We start from the raw sequence: 17039 nt of genomic DNA, 5'->3' as shown, positions 1-17039 counted from the left end.
CTGTCTTGGCCTTTCAAAATGTGGGGATTATAGGCCTGAGCCACTGTGCCCAGCCCAGTTTCTTTCCTAATCTATTCATTCACCCACTGGTCATTCAGGAGCATATTGTTTAATTTCCATGTGTTTATATAGTTTCCAAAATTCCTCATTATTTCCAGTTTTATTCCATTGTGGTCGGAGAAGATCCTTGATATTATTTCAGGTTTTTTTTTTTTTTTTTTTTGAGTTTCTTACCACTTGTTTTGTGACCTAGCAATATGGTCTGTCCTTAAGAATGATTCATGTGCTGGGAAGAAAAATGTGTGTTCTACACCCCCTCAATGAAATGTTCTTAAATATTCATTAGGCCTGTTTGGTCTATAGTACAGATTTTTTTTTTCTTTTCTTTTTCCTTTTTTTTTTATTTTTTTGAGATGGAGTCTCACTCTGTCGCCCAAGCTGGAGTGAGTGCAGTGGCACGATCCCAACTCACTGCAACCTCTGCCTCCTGGGTTCAAGTGATTCTCCTGCCTTGGCTTCCCAAACTGCTGGAATTACAGGCACGTGCCACCACACCCAGCTAGCTTTGTATTTTTAGTAGAAATGGGGTTTCACCATGTTGGCCAGGCTGGTCTCGAACTCCTGACCTCAGGTGATCGCCCGCCTTGGCCTCCCAAAGTACTGGGATTACAGGCATGAGCCACTGCACCTGGCCTGTAGTGCAGATTAAGTCTGATGTTTCCTTGTGGATTTTCTGTCTGGATGATCTGTCCAGTGCTGAAAGTGGGGTTTTGAAGTCTCCAGCTGTTATTATATTGGGGTCTGTCTCTCCCTTTAGCTTTAATGATATTTGCTTTATATATCTTGGTGCTCCAGTGTTTGGTACATATATAATTATACTTGTTATGTTCTTTTGCTGAATTGAACCCTTTATCATTATAATGACCTTCTTTGTCTCTTAAAAATTTTTTTTTCTTGAAGTCTGTTTTGTGTGATATAAATATAGCTGTTTCTGTTCCTTTTGGTTTCCATTTGCATGTAATATCTTTTTCCATTCCTTTATTTTCAGTTTTTGTCTTTATAGGTGAGATGTGTCTCTTGTAAGCAACAGATTATTGCGTCTTGTTTCTTTATCCATTCAGCCACTCTTTGTCTTTTGACTGGAGAGTGTAGTCCATTTACATTCAATGTTATGGATGAGTAAGGATTTACACCTGCCATGTTGTTATTTGTTTTCTGGTTGTTTTGTGGTCTTCTCTTCCATAGTGTCTTCCTTTTAATGAAGGTGATTTTCTCTGGTGTTATGTTTTCTTTTCTTGCTTTTTATTTTTTGCTTATTTATTATATGTTTGTAGATTGGAGGTTACCATGAGGCTTGCAAATAGTATCTTACGGTAGCAAATCAACACTGATTGCATAAACAAGCCAACAAAAAGAAAACTAATAAAAACACAGTACTTTAGGCCAGGCGCGATGGCTCACGCCTGTAATCCCAGCACTTTGGGAGGCTGGGGCGGGCGGATCATGAGGGCAGGAGATCGAGACCATCCTGGCTAACACGGTGAAGCCCCGTCTCTACTAAAAATACAAAAAATTAGCCGGGCGTGGTGGCGGGCGCCTGTAGTCCCAGCTACTTGGGAGGCTGAGGCAGGAGAATGGCGTGAACCCCGGAGGCAGAGCTTGCAGTGAGCAGAGATCACGCCACTGCACTCCAGCCTGGGTGACAGAGCGAGACTCTGTCTCAAAACAAACAAACAAACAAAAACTCAATACTTTAACACTGTGTCCTCACTTTGTAACTTTTTACTGTTTCCCTGTGTATATTATTGTATTGTCTCTGTTGAAAAGGTATACTCATTATTTTTGGTTTATCTTTTCACCTTTCTATTAATACTTAAGATAGGAGTAGTTTACACAGCACAATTACAGTGTTATAGTATTCCGTGTTTGTCTTTGTACTACTTACTGTCACCAGTGAGCCTTGCACCTGCAGATGATTTCTTCTTGCTCATTAATCTCCTTTTCTTTCCGAGTGAAGAACCTCCCTGTAGCATTTCTTGTAGGACAGGTCTGGTGTTGATGAAATTCATCAACTTTTGTTTGTCTGGGAAAATCTTTAATTATCCTTCATGTTTGAAGGATATTTTTGCTTCATATGCTATTCTAGAGTAAAAAAGTTTTTTGCCAGCACTTTAAATATGTCATGCTACTCTCTCTCCTGGCCTGTAAGGTTTCCATTGAAAAGTTTACTGCTAGATGTTTTGGAGCTCCATTGTATTGTTTCTTTTCTTGTGCTGCTTTTAGAATCCTTTCTTTATCCTTGATCTTTGGGAATTTGATTATTAAACTAATAATGGGTTAAATCTACTTGGTATTCTATAACCTTCTTTTACTTGAAGTTTTGTATCTTTCTCTCAGTTTCAGAAATTTTCTGTTACTATCCTTTCGAATAAACTTTCTATTTCTCTCTTTCTACCTTACTCTTAGATTTGCTATTGAGGCCGTTTTCTAGATCTTACAGGGATGCTTCATTCTTTTTTATTCTTTTTTCTTCTCTGTTTTTAAACAGGGCTCATAAGTCTCAGGAATTCTTTCTTCTGCTTGATCAGTTCTGCTGTTAAGAGACTCTGATACGTTCTTTAAATATCAAGTGCATTTTTCAACTCTAGAATTTCTGCTTGGTTTTTAAAAATTATTTCTTTGTTAAATTCATCTGATAGGATTCTGAATTTCTTCTCTGTTATCTTGTATTTCTTTGAGTTTCCTCAGAGCAGCTATTTTGAATTCTGTGTCTGAAAGGTCACATATCTCCATTGCTCCGATTTGCCCCTGGTGCCTTATTTAGTTCTTTTGATGAGGTTATGTTTTCTTCAATGGTCTTGATGCTAGTGGATATTTGTGATTATCTAGGCATTGAAGAATTAGATATTTATTGTAGGCTTCACAGTCTGGGCTTGTTTGTACTCATCCTTCTTGAGAAGGCTATCCAAGTATTCAAACCTACTTAGTTGTTATTATCTAGGTTTTTGGTCCCTACAGCTGTATCTGCATTAGAGGGCACCCCAAGACTAGTAATGCTGTAGTTCTTGGACACTTATAGAGATACCAGCTTGGTGGTTGATATGGTTAGGCTTTGTGTCCCCACCCAAATCTCATCTTGAATTGTAATCCCCATAATCCCCACGTGTCAAGGGAGAGACCAGGTGGAGCTAAATGGATCATGGGAGTGGTTTCCCCCATGCTGTTCTGGTGATAGTGATTGCATTACATGAGATCTGATGGTTTTGTAAGTGTTTGGTAATTCCTCCTGCGTTCATTCTCCCCTCTGCTGCCTTGTGAAAAAGATGCCTTGCTTTCCCTTTGCCTTCTGCCATCATTGTAAGTTTCCTGAGGCCTCCCCAGCCATGCAGAACTGTGAGTCAATTAAACCTCTTTCCTTTCTAGATTACCCAGTCTCAGGCAGTTCTTTATAGCAGTGTGAGAATGGACTAATACTGTGGTCTTGGATAACATCTGGAAGAATTCTCTGGATTACCAGGTAGAGACTCTTGTTTTCTTCCCTTACTTTCTCCAAAATGAGTGCAGTCTCTCTCTCTCTCTGGCTAAGCTGCCTGCAGCTTGGAGAGGGGTGATACAAGCACTCCTGTCGCCGCCATCGTTGGGACTGTACTTCGTCAGATCTGAAGCCAGCAAAGCACCGTGTCTTGCCCATGTCCTGCTGTAACTATTACCTGGCTGCAAGCTGTGTTCTCTTAAGGCACTCAGGCTATAGTCATTATTTCAAGAGTGGCTGAAGCTAGTCATTCTTGTGTATTTCCCTTCGGGGTGGTGAATTCCTCTGGGCTCCAGGCTCCGGACAGGTTCAGAGTGCCTGGAAGTCAGGGCCTGCAATCGGAAACCTTAGAAATTTCCCTGGCACTGTATTCAACTATGTTTAAGCTGGTACTGAAATCAAAAGACACAGTCCTTCCCACCCATCCCTTTCCTCTCCCCAGGCAGTGGAGTCACCCCCTGTGTCCACCTCCACACAGGCCCACAGGGAGTACTGCCACAATGTTGTCACTGTTCACTTAAGGCCCAAGGGCTCAGCTTTTCATGAATGTCGCCATTCCTGGGACCCACCCTTCAGGGCAGTGAGTTCCCTTCTGGCTTAGGGTAGTTCCAGAGGTGCCGTCCAGTGTTCTCTGGAATCAGGGACCCTACGAACCCACTTGGTGCTCCTCCCAACTATGTTTGAGGTGGTACCTAATCTGCAAGACAAAATCCCCTTTATTTTTCCCTCCCCTTTTCTCAAGCAGAAGGAGTCTTTCCTCGTAGCCACCGCAGCTGTGAATATGCCGGGTCACACCTGAAGTCTGCATGTCTGAGTCTTAGCTGAGGCCCACAGTGTGTGTTACTTGGTTGCTGCTGGTGATTATTCAGGGTCTAAGGGCTCTTTAGTCAGCAAGTGGTGAATTCTTCCTGGACTTGATCCTTCCCTTCAGGTTCCTTCTGGCCCAGGGTGTGTCTAAAAATATCACCCGGGAGTTAGAGCCTAGAATGGGGACCTCACGACTCTGCCTGATGCCTTATTCAACTGTGGCTGAGATGGTATTTATGTTGCAAAACAAAGTCCTGTTTATCCTTTCCTCTCCTCTTCTCAAGGAGAAGGACGGAATCTCTTTTGGAGCTGGGAGCCTTCCTGCCTTTGATTGGGAGATGTGTGACACAAGCGCTCCCTTAGCCGCATTGGCTGGTGTCTCACTAGGTCATGTACCTCCAAGTCCACTGGCTCTGAGCCCAGCCCAGCACTACAACTTGCCTAGGAGTTACAGTCCTTGTGACCTAGCCTGCCTTTTACTGTTATTTAGGACCCCAGAGCACTTTAGCCTGTGGTGGCGAGGCTTGCAGAAACTCCAGTTCCAACCTCCAGGCTGTGTGATTGTCCTGTCCCTGGGGCTGGTCTAAATGCTCCATTCATTGGCATTGGCTGAGTTCTGCCGGGATTGGCAGCACTGCGTTCCGGCTTGTAGTCCCACAGTTGCTGTGCTCTTTCCCCGTGTGCAGCGCAGATTCTTCCTCTGTGCCCTGTGGTTGCTACGAGCGCATGGGGGAGGGCTGGGGTCAGCAATTCAAGACTGTCTTTTCTATCCTCTTCACTGCCTCTTTCAGCAATATGAAGGTACTGTGATTGCTCACATGATTTTTGGTTCTTATGAAGGTGCTTTTTGTGTAGGTGGTTGTCAGATTTGGTGTTCCTGCAGGGAGGACAATCGGTGGAGGCTTCTATTTGGCCATATTGCTCTGCCTCCCATTCCAGCTTGTTTCTATTTTTAATTTTTGTTGCAATGGAGTCTTTTGCCTGGCCCTGAATAATATTTAAATAAATCACAAGGACTTGAAACTACAAAATGTATACTTAGAGCCAAAGTCACCTTACTTGTAAGAACTGGAAATGGGGATAATGCTCTCTATGGTTATGCAGCCTACTCTTTTACTAACCTTTCTGGACTAGATCTTTGAAGTGCGTCTTAGCTTTCCTCCTTTCCTGAAGAGAGCAGAGATAGTGCTGCTTTAACTGTGGTCATACATGTATGAGGAATAACTTTAGTGTGAGCTGTTGGTTTTAAAGAGTCATATATTATTCTATGCACTTTTGTAAGTTCATTTTATAATGAGCAGATTGGTCAACTGACATTTTTGATTATTTGTAATACATGTGTTGCTTGGAATAATACTGTTAATTTCCAGAAATATAAGTGAACCTTAGCTTTTCTGTTGGTGGCTTTTAAACTTTTTATGATGGGAAAATGTGTGAATTTTCTCCTGGGAAAGTATAGACTGGAGACTTAGATACCAGTAGATGAATTGAGGAATTTCTGTGTAGCAGTTTAATATAGAAAAGAGTTAGCTGTCCATGAGGAAGGGCTTTAAGAACAACAATAACTACCAAAAAAAAAAAAAAAAAGAAGAAAAAGAAAAGAATTAGCTGTTAGATAGCTGTGGCTTGAGAATTGGCAAGTCAGAGACAGAACTGTTGCTTTATTGACAACATACTTTTCACACTAATGGAAGTATTAAAAGTATATAGCCTACATTATTGTGGCTGGGCACAGTGGCTCACACCTGTAATCCCAGCACTTTGGGAGGCTGAGGTCAGGAGTTCGAGATCAGGCTGTCCAACATGGCGAAACCCCGTCTCTGGTAAAAATACAAAAATCAACTGAGCATGGTGGCACATGCCTGTAGTCCCAGCTACTCAGAGGGCTAAGGCGCAAGAATTGCTCGAACCTGGGAAGTACAGGTAACAGTGAGCTGAGATCATGCCATTGCACTCCAGCCTGCGTGATGGAGTGAGACTCTTGTCTCCAAAACAAAGCCAGTAAATAGTCTAGATTACTGACATCTAATTTCATGAAATACTTGACATTCTATTCAAGTGTATAGAAAATTTAATTTTGGTAATGTTACATTTTAAAGGCAGTAGTATCCAGGATATATGTATGGGCCAAGAGTTCACGATGAAGTTGCTAAGAGCAACTGCAACAAAAGCAAAAATTGACAAATGGGATCTAATTAAAGAGTTTCTGCACAATCAAAGAAACTGTCAGCAGAGTAAACAGACAACCTATAGAACGGGAGAAAATATTTGCAAACTATTCATCTGATAATGCTCTTATATCCAGAATTTATAAGGAACTTAAATTATAAAGAAAAACACAACCCCATTAAAAAGCAGGCAAAGGACATGAACAGACATTTCTCAAAAGAAGACATACATGTGGCTAACACTCATATAAAAAAAGCTCAACATCACTGATCATTGGAGAAGTGCAAATCAAAACCACAATGAGATATACCATCTCACATCAGCTGGGTGAGATACCATTGCTGGGTATATAACCATAGGAATATAGTTCTATTATAAAGACATATGTATGTGTATGTTCATTGCAGCACTATTCACAACAGCAAAGACGTGGAATCAACCTAAATGCCCATCAGTGGTAGACTGGATAAAGAAAATGCATACGTACATATACACTATGGAATACTATGCAGCCATAAAAAAGAATGAGATCATGTCCTTTGCAGGAACATGGATGGAGCTGGAGGCCATTATCCTTAGCAGACTAACACAGGAACAGAAAACCAAATACCACATGTTCTCATTTATAAGTGGGGGAGCTAAATGATGAGAACACATGGACACATACAGGGGAACCACACATACTGTGGCTTATTGGAGTGGGAGGGTAGGAGGAGGGAGAGGATCAGAAAAAATAACTAATGGATAGTAGGTGTAATACCTGGGTGATGAAATAATCTGTATAACAAATCCCTGTGACACCCGTTTACCTATGTAACAAACCTCCACATCCTGCACATGCACCCCTGAACCTAAAAGTTAAAAAAAAGTTGAAAAGCAGAAAAGAGAAAAATGTTCTGCTTTTCTCTTTGGAATATAATGATGTTTTTTTAACAACTTTATTAAGGAATAATTGACATAAACTGCATAGTTACAGCATACAATTTGATAACTTTTGAGATCCACACATCTCCATGAAATCGCTACAAATAATTTAGTGAATATAACAATCATGCTTTAAAAGTTTTTCTTTGCCACTTTGTAATTTCTGTTTCTCTCCCTTCTTCCCTCATTCCTAGTCTGTCGTGAATCTGCTATCATTATTGGTTTGTTTGCATTTTCTAGAATTGTATGTAAATGGACTTTTGTAGTCTAGTTTCTTCAGTGTTATTTTGAGGTCCAATTATATTGCATGTTTCAGTCCTTCATTCCCTTTTTATTGCTCAATACGATTGCATTGTATGGATTTATCACAAGTTTTAAAATCCATCTACCTGTGGATGGTTATATTAGCTATCTACTGCTGTATAACAGATTATTTGAAAACTTAGTGGCATGAAACAACATGCATGTATTATCTTACAGTTTCTGGGCCAGGAATTTGGGAGTGGCTTAGTTGGGTGACTCTGACTCAGGAATTTCATGAGATTGCCTCAGTCTCTGGTCCTCTGACCAAGGATCCTCTTTGCAGGGATGCTTGAGTGTCCTTATGACATGAAATCTGGTTACTGCTAAAACAAGTGATCCAAGAGCAGCATGGGCAAACAGGAAGCTCCAATGCCTTTTTTTTTTTTTTTTTTAAAGACAGAGTCTCACTCTGTCATCCAGGCTGGAGTGAATGGCATGACCTTGGCTCATTGCAACTTCCGCCTCCCAGGTTGAAGCGATTCTTGTGCCTCAGCCTCCTGAGTAGCTAGGATTACAGATGTGCGCCACCACACCCAGCTAATTTTGGTATTTTTAGTAGAGTTGGGGTTTCACCATGTTGGCCAGGCTGGTCTGGAACTCCTGACCTCAAGTGATCTGCCCGCCTCAGCCTCCCAAAGTGCTGAGACACTGCATCTGGCTGGAAGCTTCAATGCCTTTTATAACCTGGTCTCAGCAGTCACACATTGTTACTTTCTTCATGATACTGTTTGCTAGAAGTAAGTCACTCCATCTAGCCCACACTCAAAGAGCAAAGAATTGGGGCTGCTTTTGAAGAAAGCAGTGTTAAAGAATTTGTTGTCATATTTTAAAGCTACCGCAATGGACTTTGGGGTTGTTTTTAGGTTTTGGCTATTACAAATAAAAATGCTTATTAAAATACATGTAAAAATCTGTGTAGGCATATAGTTTTATTTCTTTATGTGAATAGCCAGGTGTAAAACGGCTAGTTTGTAAGATAGTGTTATGCTTAAATGTTTACTATTTTTAAAGTGAAGACTGTAAGCCATTGCTAAGAGAAAATAAGGAAATATTTAATTTCTTTTATTTATTGTTTATATTAATTTTTAATACAGTCACGCATCATTTAACAACAGTGAAACATTCTGAGAAATGTGTTGTTAGGTGATTTCTTCATTGTGTGAGTATCATAGAATGTACTTATCACAAACCTAGGCAGTGTAGCCTCCTACACACCTAGGCTACGTGGTGTAGTCTATTGCTTTTACGCTGCAAACCTATACAGCATGTTTCTGTAATGAATACGTTAGGCATTTGTAACATAATGGTAGATATTTGTGTATTTAAACATAGAAAAAGTACAGTACAGATACAGTACTATAATTTTATGGGACCACCGTTATATGTGCGGCCTGTCTTTGACCAAAATGTCATTATGCGGCACATGACTGTTTTACATTTCTTTAAAGTGTTAATATCTGTAAAGAAATTAAAACCTACACAAATGTTGTTTTGCAAAGTGGATTGTGCTATTTTACATCAGCAGTGTACAAGAGTGCAGGGGTTCCACATGCTCAGCAACACTTGGCATAGTCACTTTCTAAAATTGTTTATGGTTTTAATTTGCATTTCCTTATTAATAAGTAATGATGTTGAGCATTTTGTTTCTTTGCCATCTATGGATCTTCTTTGGTGAAGTGTCATCTTTTGTTCATTAAAAAAATGGATTTAGGCCGGGCATGGTGGCTCACGCCTGTAATCCCAGCACTTTGGGAGGCCGATGCGGGCGGATCACGGATCAGGAGATCCAGACCATCCTGCCTAACACAGTGAAACCCTTTGTCTACTAAAAATACAAAAAATTAGCTGGGCGTGGTGGTGGGGGGCGCCTGTGGTCCCAACTGCTGGGGAGGCTGAAGCAGGAGAATGGCGTGATCCCGGGAGGTGGAGCTTGCAGTGAGCTGACATCACGCCACTGCACTCCAGGGTGACAGAGCAAGACTCCGTCACACACACACACACACACACACACACACACACACACACACACACGAAAAAGAAAAAATATGGATTTATTGGCCTGGCGTGGTGACTCACGCCTGTAATCCCAGCCCTTTGGAAGGCTGAGGCGGGCGGATCACTTGAGGTCAGGAGTTCATGACCATCCTGGGCAACATGGCGAAACTCTGTCTCTACTAAAAGTACAAAAATTAACTGGCGTGGTGGCATGCCCCTGTAATCCCAGCTGCTTGGGAGGCTGAGGCAGGAGAATCACTTGAACCTGGGAGGCGGAGGTTGCAGTGAGCCGAGATCACACCACTGCACTCCAGCCTGGGCGACAGAGCAAGACCCTGTCCCCCGCCCAAAAAAAAAAAAGGATTTATCTTCATATTTACTGAGTTGTTATATGTTTTGCAGATATTTTCTTCCATGCTTTGGCTTGCCTTTTTCATTTTTGTAGCAGTGTTTTTTAAAGATCAAACTTTTTTTTTATGAAGTCAGTTTATTGATTTTGTTCTTTTGTAGTTTTCTTTTGTGTTCTGTTAGGAAATGTTTGCTTAACCCTATTCAGTAAGATTTTTTTCAATGTTTTCTTGTGGAAGTTTAGGTCTATGATCTATTTCAAGTTAAATTTTATAAATGTTCTGTGGTAACGGTTGAAGTTCTTTTTCCTCTCTATTATTATTAAATTCTTTGCATGTGGCTCTCCAGCTTGCTCTGTACATTTTCCCATCTTTATTGGCACCTTTTGTAAAAAAAATAAATGAATAAAAGCTGACCATATGCGTGGGTAATTTCTGCTTTATTGATCTTTTTGCTTGTCTTTTTTCTTTTTTTTTTTTTCCTGAGACAGTCTTGCTTTGTTTTCTGGGCTAGAGTGCAGTGAAATGAAAATGACTCACTGCAGCCTCCACCTCCTGGGCTCAAGTAATCCTCCTGCCTTAGCCTCCTGAGTAGCTGGGACCACAGGCACATGCTACACCCCTGGCTAATTTTTTGAATTTTTGTCGAGATTGGGGGGTCTCACTTTGTTGCCAAGGCTGGTCTCCAACTCCTGGGCTCAAGTGATCCTCTCAAACTGTTGGGATTACAGACGTGAGCCACTGTACCCAGACTTTACCTGTCTTTATACAGTACCATACTTCATTGATTACTGTAGCTTTCATAGTAAGTCTTGAAATCAGGTAGTATGAGTATTCTAACTCTTTTCCTCTTTTTCAAAGTTATTTTGGCTATTCTAGGTCCTTTATGTTTTCATATAACTTTTAGAATCAACTTTTCAGTTTCTACTGAGATTTGGAGTGGAATTGCGTTGAATGTATAGATCAATTTGAGGTGAATCAACATTTTGCTAATAATAAGTCTTCTAATCTGAATAGTATATGTGTTACTCAAAGTAGAGGGCCATGATTCTGTCTATTTGTGTGTGTATGATTTGCTCACTTTATTTGACAATCAGTGGTTAGTTCTTGTCCACACTGACTTTCGACAGATTTTTGAAAGTGGTGACAGACACATAGGTAATCAATGTATAGAGCTTGTTTGGTGAATGTTCAGCCTCATCATGTTTTCTGGAAAACCACATATGGGATCCTATGAGATATTGCTTGTTCCTTTGTTCCAGACAGCTTTGTTTTGCCTGGTGTCAATGCGCACATCTAGAATTCCCATCTCCTTCATGGCAAATTTCTGGATCTCTTTGAGTGCCTGAGGGCCATGCTTCTTGAAGCCCACTCCATGGATGTGCTTCTGAATGTTGCTGGTGTACCCTCGGGTCACCTTATCGATGGCAGGATGTTTCTTCTTGCCGCCCATCTTTGTGGAGCCGTTCTGCTGGACCCAAATTAGAAAAGAAGAGCATGAAAGATTGTCTCCATTTGTTTTTTTTTTTAATTTCTCTGAGCATGTTTTGTAGTCATCACTGTGCAAGTCTTGCATATTTTTTGTCAAATTCATCCTTAAGCATTTCCTATTTGTTATTATAAATGGCTTTTTTTGTTTGTTTGTTTTCAGATGGAGTTTCGCTCCTGTTGCTCAGGCTGGAGGGGCAATGGCGTGATCTCGGTTCACTGCAAGCTCTGCCTCCCGGGTTCAAGCGATTCTCCTGCCTCAGCCTCCCAAGTAGCTGGGATTACAGGGATGTGCCACCACGCCCGGCTGATTTTGTATTTTTAGTAGAGACGGGGTTTCTCCCTGTTGGTCAGGCTGGTCTCAAACTCCCGACCTCAGGTGATCTGCCCGCTTTGGCCTCCCAAAGTGCTGGGATTACAGGCGTGAGCCACAGCGCCTGGCCAGTATTTTTTTTTTAATGTTCAGTTTCTATTTGTTCATTGCTGGTCTTAGAAATACAACTGATTTTTGTATTTTGACTTTGTTTCTACAGCCTTCTTAAACTCACTTATTAATTTTAGCAGTTTTTTTTTTGCAGGTTCCATAGTGTTATCTATAGAGCTGATCACATCATCTGTGGATAAAGACAATTTTATATTCTTCCTTTCTAATCTGTATGCTTTTTATTTCTTGTATGATTGCATTGCTAGAATTTCTAGTGTAATGTTGAATAGAAGTGATGAGTAGGCATTCCTGGCCTTGGTCCTGATCTGAGGGTGAAAGTAGCCTTTTGCCACTAGCCAGGATGTTAGATACAGATTTTTCATATGTCCCCTTTATTACGCCAAGGAAGGTACCTTATATGTCTATATTCCTGAGAGTTTTTAAAAATCAGGAAGGGAAGATTTTTGTTGCAGTGCTTTTTTGTGTCTGTCATACAGTTTGTTTTTTAAGTCTGTTAACATGGTGAATTATGTTGATTTTTTTGAATGTTAAATCCATCTTTCATTCCTGGAATATATCCCAGTCGGTCATGATGTATTTTCCTTCCTATGTATTCTTATGTCATTACTATATATTGCTAAGAATTTTGGCATCTGTATTCATGAGGGATACTGCTTCGTAGCTTTCTTTTCTTACAGTGTCTTTGGTTTTGTTCTTCCGTTTTCTCAGAGAATAGATTTTCCGATAGATTTTTTTTTTGAAGAGTTTGTGTAGAAGTACTGTTCTTTCTACCTTTCAATGTTTGGTAGAATTCAGCAATGAAGATGTGAAGACATCTTTGTGGAGTTTTTCACATTTTTTCTTTTTATTTATTTTTAATTTTTAATGTATTTTCTTTGTAGGATGTGTTTTCCTTTTTATTTTTTAAGGTATGTGTGCCATTTCTTTCTGATATTTTATAATTAGAAGTTGAAACAGCTTTACAGTTGACATCCATATACTCACCCCAAAGGTATATTATGCTGCATTTGCTTTATCACATATCTATTCATTTATCCTTCCCTCTATCCATGCCTCAATATTATTAATGCATTTAAAAATAATTTATAGACAAAAGAACATTTCTTTCTCAAATACATTCCCAGGTTTAGGTTTTTTTTTTTACAAGTTTTCTTTTTTCTTTTCTTTTCTTCTTTTCTTTCGAGATAGGATCTTACTCTGTTGCTCGGGCTAGAGTGCAGTGCAGTGGCGTGATCACAGCTCACTGCAACCTTGAACTCCTGGGCTCAAGTGATTCTCTTGCCTTAGTCTCTTGAATAGTTAGGACTACAAGTGTGTGCCACCATGCTTGGCTCATTTGAAAATGTATATATATAGAGAGATGGGTCTTGCCATGTTGCCCAGGCTAATCTTGAACTCCTGGCCTCATGGGATCCTCCAACCTTGGGCTCCCAAAGTAATGGGATTATAGGGATAAGCCACCATGCCTGGCCCTGATTTTATTTCTTGAGGTCAAGTTTAAATACAGTTAAATGCAAAAACCCTATTTGTATGTTTAAGTTAATTTTGGCAAGCCCATCCACTTATGTAAGTCAAATCCTTTTTAAGATATGGATCATTACCGTTATCCAGAAAGTTCTCCCATACCACTTCTCAGACAGTCCCAACCCACACCTCCAAAGGCAAGTCCTGTTCTGATTTTCTTCCATAAAGTAGTTATGCTTTTTCTATAACTTCATATAAATGGAATCATATTGCATGTATGTGTGTCTGTGTGTGTATGTGTGACTTCTTTTGCTTGGAATAACATTTTTGAGATCGGTATTGTTCCCTGTTTCAGTAGTTCTCTCTTTTTAATACTTTGTAGTGTAACTTAATATAATGTCATATTGTTGCTTGATGCCCTACTATATGGTCAATTTTCTTAAATGTTGTTAGTGTTCCTGAGAAGATTGGATGTTCTCTTTTCGTTGGTTTTATGTTTCTCTGTCCTTTCAATCAACCTGTTAATATGCTATTTGTTTCTTCTTAATTCATTTAAAAATCTATTGTTTAATATTTACACTGTCATTCTTCATATTTTAAAGTTATTTTTAAATTTAAATATAACAAAATTGATTTTTTTTTGTGGCATATAACTTCATGGGTTTTGACAGATGCATACAGTTGGGTCTCCACACCAAAATCAAGATGCACAACAGTTCCATCAACTCCCCAGAAGCCCTCATGTTGCCCCATTATTAACCCTTCCATCCTCCTCCTATCAGTGGAAATCGCTGATTTTTCATCCCCTCAGTCTTGCACTTTCCTGAATGCCCTACAAATTTTGTTTCACTTAGCAAAATGCATTGAGATTCACCTGTGTTGTTGCATGTATTAATAATCATTCTTTTTTATTGCTGTTTGAATGTATCATAGTTTGTTTCTATATTCACTGGTTGAAAGACATTTGGGTATTTTCTATATTTTGGCAATTAGGAATGAAACTGCTATAAACATTTGAGTACAGGTTTTTGTGTGAACATAAGTTTTAATTTCATTTGGCCACATACCTAGGATTGGGATTGTTATATTTCATGTTCATGTAATTTTAACTTTATATGATATGGAAGGTTTTAAACTATAGACTCTGTCTTTTAAGCTGTGTTCAGGGTATCAGTTTCTTCTTGACTGAGCCTTGATTGAGTTTTTGTCTTTCACAAAATTTGTCCATTTCGTCTGTTGAATTTGCAGGCCTACAGTTGTTTCTTAGCTTCACAGATTACCTTTTTAATATATATACAATCAATGATAAAGATGCGTCTCTCCTTCTTAATGTTTGAAATTTGCGTCTTCTTTCTGATCACTGTGGTTAGAGGTTTATCAATTTTATAATATTCGCTAAGAACCAAATTTTTTGATTCTTTGATTTTTCTCTATTAACTTTCTATTTTCTGTTTAGTTGACTTCTACTCTAATCTTTATTATTTTCTTTCTTCTGCTTACTTTGGGTTTAGTACTTTGAGTTTAACATAATACAGACAAAATTAAATTTCTCTCTGGAAGTAAATTGACAGATTTTGAAAAGTCCAGATTCCTGGGGAATGTGTGTATGTAGTATTCAGGAGAAAACAGAAGACAGAGCTTCAGAGATAATGAAATTGTGGTATTGTTTTCAATTAGTAAAAGAATGGAGGATTTTCTTTTGGATATTGATATTTCTGCCTGTTCATCTAACTTTATTTCAAACTCTGAATGAAGTATATCTGTAAATTATTAAAGGTGGAATCCCCACGATAAGCATTTTGATGTTTATCATACACAGAGCCATCTGTGTTAAATATATGGCATCATTTAAGTTGGGCAAAATACTATCTGGAGGAATAAAATTTTACTCTTGTCTCTACTGTTAGCAGTTATTTAACCTAAAGGATGATATAATGTTTATTTGAATTTAAAATATTCATTTAAGTCCCCACGTCTTCCCCAATGAGTAACCTCTACCTCAACTAAGGTATATGGCGTTTCTGGAGCTGTTTTCATTTGGTATGCTGTGATATATTGGAGTAAATAATTTCTGTAATGTATGGAGTGGAATTTGTATTACTGTTTTAGGTTGTCTTCCAAAGCCTGAATTTGAATTAAGGAACTATGTTGCTCCATTGTTTGAGCATTCTATTTAAATATTAAAGCAGATTTGTTTTCTTCTGTAAATAGAAGTAATTTTATTTCTGAGAGATGAAATTGGCTTAATCTGTTTTGGGTTCTATTTTTAAATGGTTATTTCTTTTGTAGTCTTCAAGAAGAGATATAGACGGTATTAGAATTGAAGAATTGATGGAGGGATGTGGTATTTATAGCACGATAAGAAAATTATTTTGTTTACTTTTCTAATCACTTAATATTACATTTTATTTTTTAGATCCTGTTTGACCAAACTCAGAGATCAATTAAGGCACAGCTTCAGAACTTTGTTAAAGAGTAAGTCAATTGCGGTGAAGAGGAAAGAAAATTAACTAGTTAATGATCAATCTGAGAATTCGTATCTTTTGGAAGAAGTTATATACCATGAATTATTGAAAATATTGACATTTTGTTTGCTTTGTGAAATGCATGCTGCATTTCTTCCTAAATTACTCTATAAGTAAATTAGACTTGATGTCTTTCAGTGAATCACTTATTCCACAAATACGTGTTCTGGAAGATACTTGGCTAGGATATGTAGCTATAGGTTTAAAAAATATTTTTAATGTAAATAATCTAATTGTTCTTTCACCATCAAAGCAAACCCCAAAAGTGGTTGAAATACTATTAGTTATTGTAGTTGAAACTGTGTTTTCCATTGTTTCAATGTGGTATTTTCTTTGAAGAGAAGATAATGGAATATACGAGAATGAGCCATGAAAGTACATGATTTTTGGGCCGGGGCGCAGTGGCTCACGCCTGTAATCCCAGCACTTTGGGAGACTGAGGCGGGTGGATCACCTGAGGTCAGGCGGCGAGACCAGCCTGGCCAAGATGGAGAAACCCCGTCTCTACTAAAAATACAAAATTAGCGGGGCGGGGTGGTGCATGCCTGTAATCCCAGCTACTCGGGAGACTGAGGCAGGAGAATCGCTTGAACCTGGGAGGTGGAGGTTGCAGTGAGCTGAGATCGCGCCATCGCACTCCAGCCTGGGCAACAAGAGTGAAACTCAAAAAAAAAAAAAGTACATGATTTTTGTGACTTACGAGTATTTTGTGTCACCTCACATTTTCTTTGTGAAATAAAATAGAACTAGAAATTTTAAAAATCAGAGATTTCCATATTAGGAAAGTTTTTCTTTTTCACATTAATAATACAGGTTTTTCTCTTTTGATTCCTGGCTGGGAATATATAAAATTAAAGTTTATTATAATAGAGCTGTACAGTGGTGTTAGATCTCATTAAGATAGTACACTGTTTTAATAGGTTAGAATTTGTTGTTCTGGAGGTTATGTATTACAGTTTCTTTTCTTTTGTTTTTTTCTTTTTTAAATATAGAGACAGGGTCTGACTCTGTTACCCAGGCTGGAGTACAGTGGCTTGATA

At 39.0% G+C, this 17039-nt stretch overlaps 1 protein-coding gene and 1 pseudogene across 13 annotated transcripts in view; one reads left to right on the top strand and one right to left on the bottom strand.

Annotated features, from left to right (window-relative positions):
- Positions 1-17039, top strand: part of ACAP2 (ArfGAP with coiled-coil, ankyrin repeat and PH domains 2) — a 168276-nt gene that overhangs the window by 81813 nt on the left and 69424 nt on the right. For all 13 annotated transcript variants that reach the window (NM_012287.6, XM_011512603.3, XM_006713557.4 and 10 more), the window contains one exon: positions 15891-15949. In NM_012287.6, the coding sequence (NP_036419.3) occupies positions 15891-15949 (59 nt within the window). The remainder of the gene's footprint in view (positions 1-15890; positions 15950-17039) is intronic.
- On the bottom strand, positions 11178-11533 carry RPL31P22 (ribosomal protein L31 pseudogene 22; annotated as a pseudogene).

Source organism: Homo sapiens, chromosome 3 (genome assembly GCF_000001405.40).
Source record: "Homo sapiens chromosome 3, GRCh38.p14 Primary Assembly".
Lineage (NCBI taxonomy): Eukaryota > Metazoa > Chordata > Mammalia > Primates > Hominidae > Homo > Homo sapiens.
The sequence above is the reverse complement of the archived record's forward strand: the minus strand, read 5'-3'. Positions and strand labels throughout refer to the sequence as shown.